The 16,577-nt window shown below is 39.6% G+C and overlaps 1 protein-coding gene across 22 annotated transcripts in view; it reads right to left on the reverse strand.

Moving 5' to 3' along the window:
• WNK3 (WNK lysine deficient protein kinase 3) overlaps positions 1-16,577 on the reverse strand; it is a 166,078-nt gene that overhangs the window by 97,410 nt on the left and 52,091 nt on the right. For all 22 annotated transcript variants that reach the window (XM_047442382.1, XM_047442379.1, XM_017029744.2 and 19 more), the window contains exons 6-10: positions 11,539-11,627; positions 7,943-8,162; positions 4,321-4,615; positions 2,902-3,095; positions 2,656-2,805 (exon numbers count right to left, since the gene is read on the reverse strand). In XM_047442382.1, the coding sequence (XP_047298338.1) occupies positions 2,656-2,805; positions 2,902-3,095; positions 4,321-4,615; positions 7,943-8,162; positions 11,539-11,627 (948 nt within the window). The remainder of the gene's footprint in view (positions 1-2,655; positions 2,806-2,901; positions 3,096-4,320; positions 4,616-7,942; positions 8,163-11,538; positions 11,628-16,577) is intronic.

Consider the following 16,577-nt stretch of genomic DNA (forward strand, 5'->3'; position numbering starts at 1 on the left):
ACCACTTCACTCCAGCCTGGGTGACAGAGTGAGACTCTGTCTGAAAAAAAAAAAAGAAAGAAAGGACTGATTGTGGAACTCCAGTAACTGACAAGTCTAAAGTCATAGGTTGGGCTAAAGTTTTTCTATCTGCTCCAAAGGCCAGCTACAGGTACAAGGAGAATTCAAATTATAAATGCATATACTATGCCCATTTTAATGGGACTTTCCCGGACATACTGATAGAGAAAATAATGCTATGTTCCAAAAATTTCAGCAAATTATCAAAAAGGTGCTAGGTATAGCATTAGTCCTATAAAAATCCTAATACCATGAGTAAATGCTAGTTAACTGAATACACTAAGGGGTTGAGACAAGTCACAGCAATATACCACTCATGGTTTCTTATTTATCGCAATTTACTACATAACTCATTCAAACCCTGGCAGAGATTCTGAGTATCCGAATCTGACATTGTCACACACCTGACAGTGGAAGTCCCATGAGAAAGCTCAAAGGATTTCAGTATCATTCCTAAAATGAATATAGATACTCTCTCAAGAAGAGAGGAGAGAGTTGGCAGAAATAAATACTGATTGGCTGCAATAATTCCTAGAATTTGGGCTACCATGCTCATAAAAAGACCCATATAATCAAATTTCTTGCTTATGTGGCTTCTATATATTAGGTGAAAAGGGCAGGCTACAAAAAATCATATGTATGTGATATACATGTGTATATATAAACAAAGTTATACATGTGTACACAGAAAAAAAGATAAATCTAAAGGCTATACCTCAAACATAAACAATAAGTTGTTGGCCGGGCACGGTGGCTCACACCTGTAATCCCAGCACTTTGGGAGGCCGAGGCGGGCGGATCACGAGGTCAGGAGATCGAGACCATCCTGGCTAACACGGTGAAAGCCCGTCTCTACTAAAAATACAAAAAATTAGCCGGGCATGGTGGCACGTGCCTGTAGTCCCACCTACTCGGGAGGCTGTGGCAGAAGAATCGTTTGAACCCGGGAGGCGGAGGTTGCAGTGAGCCGAGATCGCGCCACTGCACTCCAGCCTGGGCGACATAATGAGACTCCATCTCAAAAAAAACAAAACAAAACGAAACAAAACAAAACAAAATGAAAAAACAATAAGTTGTCTCTAGCTGGAGAAATAACAAGTAATTTTTCACTTTCTTTTTCATAACTTTATGGGCTTTATTTTAAAATAAGCAAGTAACATTTTGATAATTAAATTTTTGGAACACATTTTAAAATACACATACCTGTATGCTTATGTAAATTGAACCTAAGTTAAATTTAAGCTCCCATTCAACACACTTTGCATTATAGGCTTAGAAAGAGGCAAATCAAACTACCACATGAGCTCAATTACAAATAGGCACCATATCACTTATAAATACTAGCCAAATATCTGGCATCTTCAACTATATCAAACTAAATCTACCCCTAGCAGATTTTAAATGCATCTGGCATTTGTCAAGTACATACATGCTTTCCCCTAAAAGACTGGGCTCTTTGAGGGCAAGGATCATGTTTATTTTATTTCATATCCCCAGAAGGTGGTAATCATTAAAAGTTTGATGATGAACTGATAATATACTAATCTCTTAAAAGATGCACCAGCAACTAGCTAAATCAGGCATTCTCTGTTAGCTAGCAGCTATTAGATCATCTCACTCCCAGAGAAGGAAGACAAACGCAAGGTATGGTGGGAGGTGAGAGGAGAAAACCGGGTAATGGCAAAGAAAAATGCAACCATGCATCCAGAATCCATAACCTAGGGAACCAGGATATAGTCTTAATATATAAACTCACACAAAGACTATTAACTCATTGTCAGAAATGAATAATGCTGACTTTAAGAGTCTGAAAGACAAAAACACTTCTTATTTCTCCTACAGAAATAAACATGAACCAAAACAAGTCAAGAGTTTAGATGAACATGCTAAAAATCATGAAAATCTATGAAACACTATTTCTAATTAACTGCAACAGACATCCTTCCATGTTCAAATCAGGCTGGAAAAGTTTAATACAAAGAACAAATAATCATGAATAAGAGGAAGAGATCAGTCCTAAATAAATCTTTTGTCCATATATACTGAGTTCTCTGTTTCTTCTCCAATTATACAAGCAGTATCTCAAGATTCTAGTTACACAATATTAGACACATTAAGAGGAACATCTTGGGCCGGGTACTGTGGCTCATGTCTGTTATCCTAGCACTTTGGGAGGCCGAGGCAGGCGGATCACCTGAGGTCGGGAGTTCGAGACCAACCTGACCAACATGGAGAAACCCCGTTTCTACTAAAAATACAAAAAATTAGCGGGGCATGGTGGCACATGCCTGTAATCCCAGCTACTTGGGAGGCTGAGGCAGGAGAATCACTTGAACCTGGGAGGTGGAGGTTGCGGTGAGCCGAGATTGCACCATTGCACTCCAGCCTGGGCAGCAAGAGCGACACTCCACCTCAAAAAAAAAAAAAAAAAAAAAAGGAATGTCTTGGGTGAAGGAAAGCATAAACAACTTTTAGCTTTTGGTGACCTTTCTCTAAACTATAATGAATTTATAAAAGAGAACTTTTGCCTGTCAGAAAATCTAGGCAGTGTTTAATTTGTTTAAATGAATACAGAACCTCTAAAATGTGTCTTACCTTTATCTGTGGGACCTTCTGAACAGTTAATGGGGAAACCTGGGGTTGTGAAACAACTGTCGGTCCAAGGACATGTACAGGTAAAACAGTGGACTGACCTTGAACCAAAGGCAAAATCTGCGGCTGAGTCAGCTTTGAATGCTTCTGTAACTGTTAAAATAAGGGGAAAAAAAGATTAAAGATAAACTTTCCCATTTACAGTAAATACACTGATTATATATTTAAAAATATAACAGTTCACCTCACCCCTGAAACTTGCTGGTAATGTCCTACTAGTTGCTGAGATGAATAAATTTGCCCTGGAACATTTACTTCAGCCTGCGGGATATTAGAAACCATTTGAGAGCCCATCGTTTGATTTGAGGAATAGGCTACACTGGGCTGACTTGAAGTATCTGAATGTATAACTGATGCAGCTCCTGCCTCAGACAAATTGTCACCTATAAAAAAAGAAAATAAGTAACAGGTAGAAGGGAAAACTTGAAGCACAAAATGTCCAAATGGTATAGGTAATGGTGTTTCTTTAATGGCTTTTTTACTCTGAGAACCTGACATAGCTTCAAATAAAATATTTACACTACAACATTAATCAAAAACCAGCATGTAAACTCTTATCAAGCAATGAAATGTTGACATTGTGGTATAACTAAAATTTTCTTAGTAAAGCCAACCTAAAAACAGAGAATCAGATAAAAATCAACTCCATTTGCTGGCCATGTCATGTATATCCCTAACTAATCTACACTTGACATAAGGATTTCAGTAAAATATATCATATTCTCTTTCTCCTATAACCTAGAATACTGTCTTTGTAGAACAATAGGTTATTACTATGCAAATACTGTGTCCTTCTGGAAAAGAAAATGCATTACAGCAGAAAATTAGAGGAATTGTGTTAATGTTACACTTGAGCCTAAAATACAAAGGGTCTTAAAGACTAGAAAATTCCTTCTTGAGGAATAAATTTTATCTTTAGTTCTAAATTTTCTTTATTAAACGATGTACGTGGCTGGGCGCGGTGGCTCATGCCTACAATCCCAACACTTTGGGAGGCTGAGGCGGGTAGATGGCTTGAGCCCAGGAGTTTGAGACCAGCCTGGCCAATATGGTGAAACCCCATCTCTACCAAAAGAAAATACAAAAATTAGCCAGGTGTAGTGGCACGCACTTGTAGTCCCAGCTACTCAGGGGGCTGAGGTGGGAGGATCACCTGAGCCTGGGGAGGTCGAGGCTGCAGTGAATCATGATCACACCACTGCACTCCAGCCTAGGTGACAGAGCAAGGCCCTGTCTCAAAAAAAAGAAAGGATTTATGTTAGACCCTCAAAAATGATAATAAGATCATTTTATTTATACCCCAAACAAAACCAGATGCTAGATTATGATCCTTCTGCAACTAGCACCTTAGAAGAATCACTTAACAAAACAGTTTCTTAATTTTAAAATAAGGAAACTAGCTGGCTTGTCTATTTCAGGGGTTTTGTAAAAGGCTTGATGAAATGATAGAAGTGCTATTTAGAGCACAGAAGTGCTATTTAAAGATAAGCAAACATACAAAAAGGAAAAGAAACAAAATAGGTCATTGACCACTGCCCTTCAAAATAAATAAAGATTAGAGAATATAATTGCACATGCGTTTGCTTTTACAAGCTGTAACTGTGTTACCTGTAACAGAGGAGCAGTGCTGCTGTGGTTTTCTTTGTAGAAGCTGTTGTCTAACATGTTGATCAACTTCAGTTTCTTCACATTCAGCCCCAGTTTGCTGAGCGGGAGCAAGGGGTAAAGTTGTATTCTGGGGCTGAGGGAATACATTCCCCATAGACTTGCACTGAGAATCCCTGCGTTCTTCCAAACAGCCAGCAGGCTTCTTCTCTCTTGTCTTCTTTATTGGCGTCACCCGGTCTCTAATGGATTTAGCAACAGCTTTGGAATCACTTTCATGGAAGAACCCAGACTTGACCTACAAACAAAACATAATAAGCAAACTACTTCTTTAACATTTAAGATTTTAACTTTTTTTTTTTTTTTGAGACAGAGTCTAGCTCTGTCGCCCAGGCTGGAGTGCAGTGGCATGATCTCGGCTCACTGCAACTCTGTCTCCTAGGTTCAAGCGATTCTCCTGCCTCAGCCTCCCAAGTAGCTGGGATTACAGGTGCCCGCCACCACGCCCAGCTAATTTTTTTGTATTTTTAGTAGGGACGGGGTTTCACTGTGTTGGCCAGGCTGGTCTTGAATTCCTGACGTCGTGATCCACCGCCTCAGCCTCCCAAAGTGCTAGGATTACAAGCATGAGCCACCGCGCCCGGCCAATTTTAACTTTTTTTTTTTTTACTAGCAGTTATTTTATGCCCCCAAATTCCAAATTAACAGTTAATCTGTTTCTATATTCTCTCTTAAACAAAGACATACATAAATGCCAGAGCCTCTAATTGGCATGAGAAAAATCAATAGTATTACCAAGCATTGTTAAAATAATTCAGGCTTTAAACAAAAACGAACAAAACAACTTGATGTTTCAGAATATGCAGTCTTATCACAGGTAATTTAGAACTGCCATTACGTTTTTTGAAGGATTAAAAAGGTTTCCTCATTCAGCAACATTAAGTGTCTACAATGTGCACAGTACTAGGCACCAGATACAGGTGACTAAGTTGGTCCTTTGTCCTGTATGAGCACACTATCAGGTGGTGTGAAATGGACATAACTTAACTTGAAATGAGCTGCTGTAAAAGTCTTAAGTAGGAGCACGCTGCATCTCTGAAGGTAATAGAGTAAGTGTTTTCACAAAAGAATTCTATTTTATTTGATTTGTTTTTGAGAGACAGGTTCTCACTCTGTTGCCCAGGCTAGAATGCAGTGGTACAATGATAGGTCAATGCAGCCTTGACCTCCCAGGCTCAAGTGATCCTCCCACCTCAGCCTCCCGAGTAGCTGGGATCACAGGCATGCACCACCACACCTGGCTAATTTTTAATTTTTTGTAGAGATGGGGTCTCCCTATATTGCTTGGGCTTTGGTCTCGAACTCCTGGGCTCAAGCAATCCTCTCACCTCGGTCTCCCCAAAGTGCTGGGATAACAGGCATGAGCCACCACATCCAGCCTGGAAGGTAAGTTCTGACCTGAATTAAAGCCAAAAAAGGAACGTGCACACTATTGAGGGATGTGCAGAAGTTTGGAGTGGAGACCAACATTCTAGGCAGAGGCAAGTATGCTAACAGCAAAGTGCTACATCTTACTAGGCATTAGAGGAGTGAGAGAAGAAAAGGTTCTGCCTCGTCATCTCAGAGGAACAGGGCTGAACAGTAGAGAAGATCATTTGAGGAGGTACCATGACATATCATTCTCAGTCCTGCAATCTGCTTTAAGATGATCCCTCTTAATCCCCAAACCTGTGCATATGAGATATCACTCCCATCATTGTGTTTGCTATAATATATAGCACAATTGGCCTTAATCTAGGGAGATTATCTCGGTGAATCTTTTACCAGCTGCTGACACTAGAAGGATTCAATATGCCATTGCTGGCTTTGAAGACGGGGTGGAGACATGGAAAGGACTGAAGAGTGGCTTCTAGGAGCTGAAAGTGGACCCAGCTAATCCCATGTCCCCTGAAGACATGGGATTCAGGAAATCCAAAATTAAATACAGGAGTGAAGCAGAGAAGTCTAGGAAGATGGTAATGGGAAATGCCAGGGTGATAGTTGTGTACCAGATGTCCAAAATAATCATTCCAGTTTAGAACAACAGTATGATCAGAAAGACATGTTAAAGGCTATCATTTCCAGGTTCCCACTGTCATTGCCCCATCCTTCTTTTTAACCTGAGGCCAGAATGCCCAGGTGAGCCTGGCGCAGATGGTTTGTACTCGGCTGGTTTTGAGTACATGCTGCTGCGGCTCCTGCACACCCTCCCATCAGCACTGCAGCTGCCTGGAGCAGGTATGGACATGCATTTCACCCCACAGAAGTTGCCTTCTGTGATCCACTATTGAGAGTGGGGGCTGGTCACAGAGAGATTGGAAGCAAAGAGTCAGAGTGGCCCACTCCCCATCAAACCATATGGTAACCAGACAACTAATTTCTGGTCTGCACACTAGCCCTGCCGGTGCCCTGACTGCGCTGAGACATGGGTGTATTTTCCTGGCCTCATTTAGAACCTTACCCTCTGACTTCTCCAGAAGTAGCTCTTGTAAACTCTTAGGGAAACTGAAGCTGGAATTGCTATAACTGAGAAAGTCTCTTCAGCTTATCCTCTCCTGGGACTCTTCACCTAATTGTACCAATACTGCCCCTTCCCACCAACTAGGTGCATGCTTGCCATTCAGTTTTCAAAACAAAACAATATATTATGCAGGTAAACTATGATGAAAAACAAAGAAATGAGTAACACAAAAGTCTGGGTAGGGGCCGGGCACAGTGGCTGATACCTGTAATCCCAACACTTTGGGAAGCTGAGGTGGGGACAGATCACTTGAAGTCAGGAGTTCGAGACCAGCCTGGCTAACATGGTGAAACCACATCTCTACTAAAAGTACAAAAATTAGCTGGGAGTGGTGGCAGGCGCCTGTAATCCCAGCAACTCGGGAGGCTGAGACAGGAGAGTCGCTTGAACTCGGGAGGCAGAGGTCGTGGTGAGCCGAGATTGTGCCACTGCACTCCAACCTGGGCAACAGAGTGAGACTCCATCTCAAAAAAAAAAAAAATCTAGGTAGATATTACTCATGGTGATGAGGGAGGAAAATGCAAATGAGAGAGGCACTCAGGTGGCTTTTAAGGTAATGGTAATGTTCTATTTCTTAATAAATGTAGAGCTTTATTATTCTTTATACTCTACATACAAATTTAATACACTGTCACAGCGATATAGTTCACAACAACATAACAATTTAAAGAAAAAAGGAGAAGGTCAGGCTCGATGGCTCACGCCTGTAATCCCAGCACTTTGGGAGGCTGAGGTGGGCGGATCACAAGGTCAGGAGTTCAAGACCAGCCTGACTAACACGGTGAAATCCCGTCTCTAGTAAAAATACAAAAAATTAGCCGGGCGTGGTGGCGGGCTCCTGTAGTCCCAGCTACTCAGGAGGCTGAGGCAGGAGATTGGCATGAACCCAGGAGGCGGAGCTTGCAGTGAGCCGAGATCGCACCACTGCACTCCAGCCTGGGTGACAGAGCGAGACTCTGTCTCAAAAAAAAGGAGAAAATGAGAGGAAAGAAAGCAATGAGAAGGAGCAAGGAATGAACTCTGATACAATAAGAGGTGAGGGGAATAGTGGTATGATTAACTTACCATTTCATATGCTACTTCCTCAGGTGTATCTGTTTCTAAGTTGAAACTAAATTCAATAGCTTCATTGTCTTTGTGTTTGCCTTTCAATTTTTTAGGGTCTTCAACCCAGAGTCTTAAAGCAAGGGATGAATTTGAGCAATCATCTTCTTCTGCTAACTCCACCCTCAGTCCTGTATCCTCAGCAAAAAATGCATGGTTTAATAGGTCCCTGATAGACAACCTAATAAACAAAACATATATCTCATTATCAGTTCTTCCAATCATAGCAAGACCCTTTAATTACTAAAAATTAATTGTATAAAAGCAAAAAACTTATTTGAAATTTTCTATCAATTTAATCATTAATCTGCCTTGTTATAAAAACCAAATCTCTTTAACAGATCCTGTGGAAGCAAAAACAACAATAAATCTTATATCCAATTTATTACCAGGGATGCAAAGAAATCCCAACTAACATGCATACGGAGTGACTTCAATTAAAAATGAATTCTTACAAGTAATACATCTAAATAACAAAGTTTAACATACACAAAATTATGCCTAGTGAGAACTGGAGAAGTAGCTTAGTACATGTTAGGCAAATTTCCCTAAGCCACTGGCTTAAGTTACTCAGACTCAAACAGTAGATTCTCAGCAAAGGGAACCAAAAACTTGCAGATTTATAAACTCTAAAGTACGTTAAAAATTCAAACTCTTTTTACGAATGTTATAAATAGAAGTCACTGTCTCCATTAACAATAATCTAGTCAAAGTACTTTACAGAATGCCATGGGTGAAGCTAATGTGGTTCAGCAAAGTCCAGTGGTTTTCGTATTTAACTCTGGTTTTAGACCAGAGTATACATATAACAGATACAACCCTAGCCTAGTATTAGGGATTAACCATCTCTGAAGAGAAACAAAGGACATAGCTTCAAAAGATTTGTTTACAAGCTGGACAAGTTAATTTACTTTTACTAACTTTTAAAACAGATACATAATATTTAAACTCTCTGTATTACAGGCCAGTGAGAGCTGAAACTGATGTACTGCATAATGTCTACAGAGACCTCTTCTTACACTACATAAACAGAAAAAGTATATACACAGCATGATATCCTGTAAGTTGAGGATTTTCAACCCCCTACATTTTTAGTGACCAAGTGACAAATACTTAACTAAGATGGTGTCATAAATAGAATAAGCCATCATTCCATACAAAGTTGATTTTTTTGAAAAAGAAAAAGTTGCTCAAATGAATTACTTTTAAGACTAAAATGAGATGTGTGTTTTGGTGTTTTTTTTTTTTTTTTTTGGGACGGAGTGCAGTCGCGTGATCTTGGCTCACTGCAACCTCCACCTCCCAGGTTCAAGCAATTTTCCTGCCTCAGCCTCCCAAGTAGCTGGGACTACAGGTGTGTGCCACCACGCTCAGCTAATTTTTATATTTTTTAGTAGAAACGGGGTTTCACCATGTTGGCCAGGATGGTCTCAATCTCTTGATTTTGTGATCCGCCCCACTCAGCCTCAGGCGTGAGCCACTGTGCCCGTCCCTAAGACTAAAGCGAGATGTGTTTAAGGAGGCACAACCAAGTAAAGCCCTCTGCTTCCCAATAAAAATTTTTACTGTATTATTTATAGTGAATTTTTACTGTAAAATTTTTATTATTTACAGTAGAATTATTTTGGTTTATTAGTTTGCTTGTTTGTTTGCTTGCTTGTTTTGGGATGGAGTCTCACTCTGTTGCCCAGGCTGGAGTGCAGTGGCAAGATCTCGGCTCACTGCAACCTCCACCTCCCAGGTTCGAGCAATTCTCCTGCCTCAGCCCCCAGAGTAGCTGGGATTATAGGCACCCACCACCACGCCCAGCTAATTTTTGTATTTCTTGTAGAGATGGGGTTTCGTCATGTTGTCCAGGCTGGTCTCAAACTCCTGACCTCAAGTGATCTGCCCGCCTCAGCCTCCCAAAGTGCTGGTATTAGAGGTGTAAGCCACTGCACCCAGCCTGTTTGTTTTTAAGACAGGGTCTTACTCTGTCATCCAGGCTAGAGTACAGTGACATGATCATAGCTCATTGTAGCTTCCAACTCCTGGGCTCAAGCAATCCTCCCACTTCAGCCTCCCCAGGGGCTGGGACTACAGGCGTGTGACACTATGCCTGGCTAATTTTTTCATTTTAATATTTTGTAGAGACAAGGGTCTCATTTTGCTTCCCAGACTGGTCGTGAACTCCTGGCCTCAAGTGATCCTCCTGCCTCGGCCTCCCAAAGTGCTAGGATTACAGGTATAAGCCACTACCCTCAACCTATTATCCTTTTAGTTATCAAAATAATACTTGTTTTATGTAATTACTAACTTGTTCAAGGTCACACAGGCTAAGTGTGAGCCCAGATTTGACTTTAAGTCTGATGATGAAGACTGTGCTTTTCCCAATATACTAATATGCTATAAATCCTTTGCAATATTCCAGTGCTCTTTGGTAATAGAACATATTTAAAGGCTGTACAAACAACAATCAGAATCCAAACTAAAATAGCTACTTCTATATAGTGTTTTTAGCTTCATTTTTAAAAGCATGCCTAAGCTCCTATCTCAACAACAAAAAACCAAACAAGCCAATTAAAAATGGGCAAAAGAGTTGAATAGATATTTCTGCAAAGATATACAAATGGCCAATAACCCCATGAAAATTTCTACTAAGGATATATCGCCTTTACTAATAATCATCAATAAGGAAGTAAAAATCAAAAGACAAACCCACCAATTTAAAGTCAGCAACTGTCCAAAGCTGAAACTAAAGGGAGGCAGGTTGGGCGTGGTGGTTCACGCCTGTAATGACAGCACTTTGGGAGGCTGAGACGGGTGGATCACTTGAGGCCAGGAGTTGGAGACCAGCCTGGCCAACATGGTAAAACCCTGTCTCTACTAAAAATACAAAAATTAGCCAGGTGTGATGGCATGCACCTGCAATCCCAGCTACTCAGGAGGCTGAGGCAGGAGAATCGCTGGAACCCGGGAGGCAGAGGTTGCAATGGGTCAAGATCGTACCACTGCACTTCAGCCTGGGTAACAGAGCGAGACTCTGTCTCAAAAAAAAAAAAAAAAAAAATTAAAAATAAAATAAGAAATAAAACCTAAAGGGAGGCAAAAGCTAAGAGTAATGGGAGTTGTCTATAAAGCAAATTGTGACACAAATAAATGTGGAATACGATTTCTTGAATACATATTTCTTCTATCCATATTAGCTTTATCATTATCATGACACTAAAGATATAGAATCAAATTTTTAAAATTTTGTCCACTCTCAACTGTTAGAAGCAAATTAACTTGTGAGGGCCTACTGACTGTTAAGCTGATGGCTGAAGGTGATGAAAGCTTGTCAAAAGGCACACACACACACAAACGCAACCCAAACGTCAGTTCAAGAAAAATTCAGCACATGATATCCAAGTCTAAAATGGTAAACAACATGCACTGATACACTTCAATCTAGAGTATGGTTTGGCTTCTACTCAAAAGTCAAACTCAGCATGACTGAAAGGTCAGAAAACGACCCAATGCAAGATAAGAGAAAAATGCATCTTTCAGTTATGTCATTTTGCTACAATTGCACCCACCTTTCAGATTTGTTTTGACGAATACATCCTTCAATGATTTCTTTGACTTCAGGATCAGTGACTTTATTGAAGCTGGCTGGTTTTATGCCCTAGGAGAAAAAAATGGTTTCTAGTAACAATGATGCAATTGAAAGCCCAAGTCAACATGACATTTATTAAACATTATTTTTATCACTAAACCATAGTCAAGTTTTAAATGAAATATTTAAATATACATGTGTATATATAGAGAACATAAGTTTAATAACCTTTTGACAAGGATGTTGTCTACAAATAACAGTAAAAAAACCTTAAATAATCTAAACTTCTGACAACAGAGGCAAAGTTACACATATTATGTTATATATATAGTATGATTTTCAAATCTAGATCTGCAGGTATATATGACAATATACAGAAATTAAAAATGTTCTCAGAATAATTAATGACATGGGAAATTCTCATAATGTACTATTAAGTAGGGAAAAATAGGATCCCCAAATCTACATACAGTATAATCCCAATTAACAATATATAATAAACAAGTTTATTTATTTATTTATTTTGAGATGGAGTCTCGCTCTGTCGCCCAGGCTGGAGTGCAGTGGCGTGATTTTGGCTCACTGCAACCTCCCACCTCCCTGGTTCAAGCAATTCCCCTGCCTCAGCCTCCTGAGTAGCTGGGATTACAGGCGCACGCCACCAAGCCCGGCTAATTTTTCTGTATTTTTAGTAGAGACGGGGTTTCACCATGTTGGCCTGACTGGTCTCAAACTCCTGATCTCAGGCAATCTGCCTGCCTTAGCCTCCCAAAGTGCTGGGATTACAGGCGTAAGCCACTGCGCCCAGCCATAAACAAATACTTTTTTGAAATCAGAAAATAATTAATGCTATTTTAAAAAACTTTTGAAAATTCAAAATAAAGGCTTCTCTATTTCAAACATTCCAATTCTCTCTCTCTCTCTCTCTCTCTCTCTCTCTCTATATATATATATATATATATATATATTTTTTTTTTTTTTTTTATTTTTAAGACAGGGTCTCACTCTGTCCACCCAGGCTGAAGTGCAGTGGCATGATCACAGCTCACTGCAGCCTCAACCTCCCAAGCTCAAGTGATCTTCCCACCTCAGCCTCCAGAGTAGCTGGGACTACAGGCGCATGCCACCAAACTCGGCTAATTTTTTTTTTTTTTTTTTTTTTGTAGAGACAAGGTCTTGCTATGTTGCCCAGTCTGGTCTTGAATTCCTGGGCTCAAACAGTCCTCCTGCCTCAGCTTCCCAAAGTGCTAGGATTACAGGCATGAGCCACTGCACCCAGCCCAATTCACTATATTTCAGTCTTCTAGAATGGCTAGAAGCCATCGGTAGACGGCAATCAGTAGATACATATGTGTATGTATGGGTATATATGTATATATATGAACATATATACCTATATATTTAAGAAATCTGTATTATTTTTATCCTTAAACAATAATAAAATATTGAGAGCATGTACCTCAAGCTAATTATCAGGTTCTAGGAATTCAAGAACAAATAAATGAAGTCCAGACAATTCAAAATGTTTCTATAATAACTGTGTTGGCTTCCTGAATCTGCTTATTTTATATTCTATTACCTTTTATTTAAGATTTAAAAAATAACCCAAGTAAGATCATTGCAGTCATTTAATAGAAAATTCCAAATTAAGCTGGAAGCAGAAAGGTACAATGGAAAGAATAATTGTTATGGAATGAAGCAATCTAACATCTACTTCTACGCCTGTCATGCTACCTCAAAAGACATAGAATCAGAAAGCCCAGCATTACATCGTAGACAAATATGATGAAATTAGGAGTTAATTTAGTTCCTAAAATGTAGAAGCTTAAGACAGATGGAAATCTGAATTGTGATATGGCATTTTTAATGACTTTACTATAAAATAATAAAGTCACTATTCAAAAAATAGACCTATTAAAACAGCAACTCAAAGTACAATAAAAAATTAAAAATAAAAATAAATTTTCTAAAATAAATACATTTAAAAAATTTTTAAAAATTGACCTGTTATTCTACCTATGGAAAAAGCCCTCTTTGACCTTCCCACTGATATACTCATTTCTCATCTCTGGGTAAATTACTGCCTTTCTCTGCTCCTACGTAAAAACAGTTCAGGAGCTGTAACTTACAAAATCTAACACGAAATTCTTTTCTATTTATGGCCTTCCAAAATATGGGCCAAAACTAAAAACACATTCTAGCCTTATCTCTTTTTCTGAGCTCTTATAGAAATTTTCAAACATACTTGAAAGTAGAATAGCATAATGAAGTCCCGTGTAACCATCACCAGTTTCAACAACAGTCAACATTTTGCCAACCTTGTTTCAGCTATCTGCCCCCACACATATTGTATCCTGGAATATTTTAAAGCAAATCTCAGGCATCACGTCATTTCACCCATGAATTTTCCAGTTTACATCTCTAACAGATAAGAACCTTTTAAAAAAAAATCGTGTAGCTCAGGCATGGTGGCTCATGCCTGTAATCCTAGTACTTTAAGAGGCCAAGGTGGGTGGATTGCGTGAGCCCAGTAGTTCAAGACCAGTCTGGGCAACATGGTGAAACCCCATCTCTACACAAAAATATAAAAAGAAAAAAAAAATAGCTGCGTGTGGTGGTGTGTACCTGTGGTCCCAGCTACCAGGGTGGCTGAGGTGAGAGGATTGCCTGAGCCCAGGAAGTCAAGGCTATAGTGAGCCAAGATCGTACCACTGTACTCAAGCCTGGGTGACAGAGCAAACACTGTCTCCAAAAAAAAAAAAAAATCATATAATCGTCCCCCCTAAAATACTCATGAATAATTCCTTAATATCAAATATCTGAAACCCAGTCCATACTCAAATTTTCAAAATTGTCTAAATGATGTCTTTTTACAGTTGGTTTGTTCAAATCAGGATCCAAACAAGGTCCATAGGGTAGGGTGTGCATGAGCTGGCTCATACCAGCTCACAAATGCTATTAAGTTTTCAGAAATTCTGCAATCCAATTGTTAAACATGGCCATTTAAAATAAAACTAAATTATAAAAGTTTACAATTAAATAAATTACATTAAAAGCCAAGGTAAGCTGGGCACAGTGGCCCACACCTGTAATCCCAGTACTTTGGGAGGCCGAGGTGGGCAGATCACCCGAGGTCAGGAGTTTGAGACCAGCCTGGCCAGCATAGCAAAACCACATCTTTATTAAAAAAATATATATATATATACAAAAACTAGCCAGGTGTGGAGGCGCATGCCCGTAATCCCAGCTACTTGGGAGGCTGAAACATGAGAATCGCTTGAACCCAGGAGGCAGAGGTTGCAGTGAGCTGAGATCGTACCACTGCACTCCAGCCTGGGTGACAGAGTGAGACTCTGTCTCAAAAACAAAACAAAACAAAACAGAGCAAAAAAAAGCCAAAGCAATAAATACTGAAAACATCACTCCCTAACTATTTTACTACAGTTTACTATTATTTATGTGTTTGAGGTTATTTACAGCTACTCTATCTGCATGGTAGAAATAACCATACAATGAGTGCAACAGTGCATCTCTTCCCAACTCTTCATTCAGTGAGGTCACATTGGTAACCTGAAATCAGCCATAGTGGGAGTACTTATACCACAAAAATCAGCAAATACTAGAAGTCAGCATTCTTTCTTTCTTCAGAGAATCAGGTGTTAAACATTTACCAGCTCACCACTACTCTTAAGTCTCTTGTATTCTATAAAAGCCTCCCTCCCTTCCTGTTTGTTTCATAAAATGTATTTGTTGGAGAAACTAGGTCATTTGTCCTACAGAATGTCCCACATTCTGGATTGTAGCCTTATTTCTTATTGTCTCCTTACACAAACTTCTAGAGTCAGACAGACTTGGGGTCAAAACCCACCATTATCAGTAGCTGCGGGAAGTTGGGCAAGGTACAACCTCTGATTCTCAGTTTCATCATCTGTAAACTGAAGATTGCACCTATCTCGTAGGGGATAAAGATTAAAGTATGTGGTGGCCGGGCGCAGTGGCTCACGCTTGTGATCCCAGAACTTTGGGAGGCCAAGGTGGGTAGATCACGAGGTCAGGAGTTCAAGACCATCCTGGCCAACATGGTGAAACACCATCTCTACTAAAGATACAAAAAATTAGCCGGGCATGGTGGTGCACGCCTGTAATCCCAGCTACTCGGGAGGCTGAGGCAGGAGAATCACCTGAACCTGGGAGGTGGAGGATGCAGTGAGCCGAGATAGCGCCATTGCACTCCAGCCTAGACGACAGGGCAAGACTCGGTCTCAAAAAATAAATAAATAAAGCATGTGGTATACCGCATGCATTAAAAAACAGTATCTCCTCACATCTGTTAGAATGACTATTATCGAAAAGATGAAAGATAAGTGTTGGTGAGGATGCAGAGAAAAGGGAACCCTTGTACGTTGTTGATGGGAATATAAATGGTACAGCTGTTATGGAAAATGGTATGGAACTTCCCCAAAAAAACTAAAAACAGAACTACCATAGCAATTCTACTTCTTGGTACATACCCAAAGGAATTGAAATTAGTATGTCAAACAGATATATGCATGCCTATGTTCACTGCATCACTATACACAATAGCCAAGATATGGAAATGACCTACATGTTCATCAGTGAATGAATAAAGAAAATGTGGTATATATATACAATGGAATACTATTCAGCCTTTAAAAAGAAGAAAATTCTATCATTTGTGACAATGTGGATGAACCTAGAAGACATTATGTTAAGTGAAATAAACCAGCACAGAAAGACAAATACAACATGATCTCACTTACACATGGAATCTAAAAAAGATGACCTCATAGAAGAGTAGAATGATGGTTACCAGAGACTGGGAGTTGTGGGGGAGGAAATGGGGAGCTATTGGTCAAAAGGTACAAGTTGCAGTTAGACAGGAGGAGTAGGTTTTGAGATCTACCGTACACCAGGGTAACTACAGTCGATAATAACAATAATATACTGTAAATTTCAAAATAACTTAGTAAATTTCAAATGTCTTACCACACAAAATAA

Source organism: Homo sapiens, chromosome X, assembly GCF_000001405.40.
Source record: "Homo sapiens chromosome X, GRCh38.p14 Primary Assembly".
Taxonomy (NCBI): domain Eukaryota; kingdom Metazoa; phylum Chordata; class Mammalia; order Primates; family Hominidae; genus Homo; species Homo sapiens.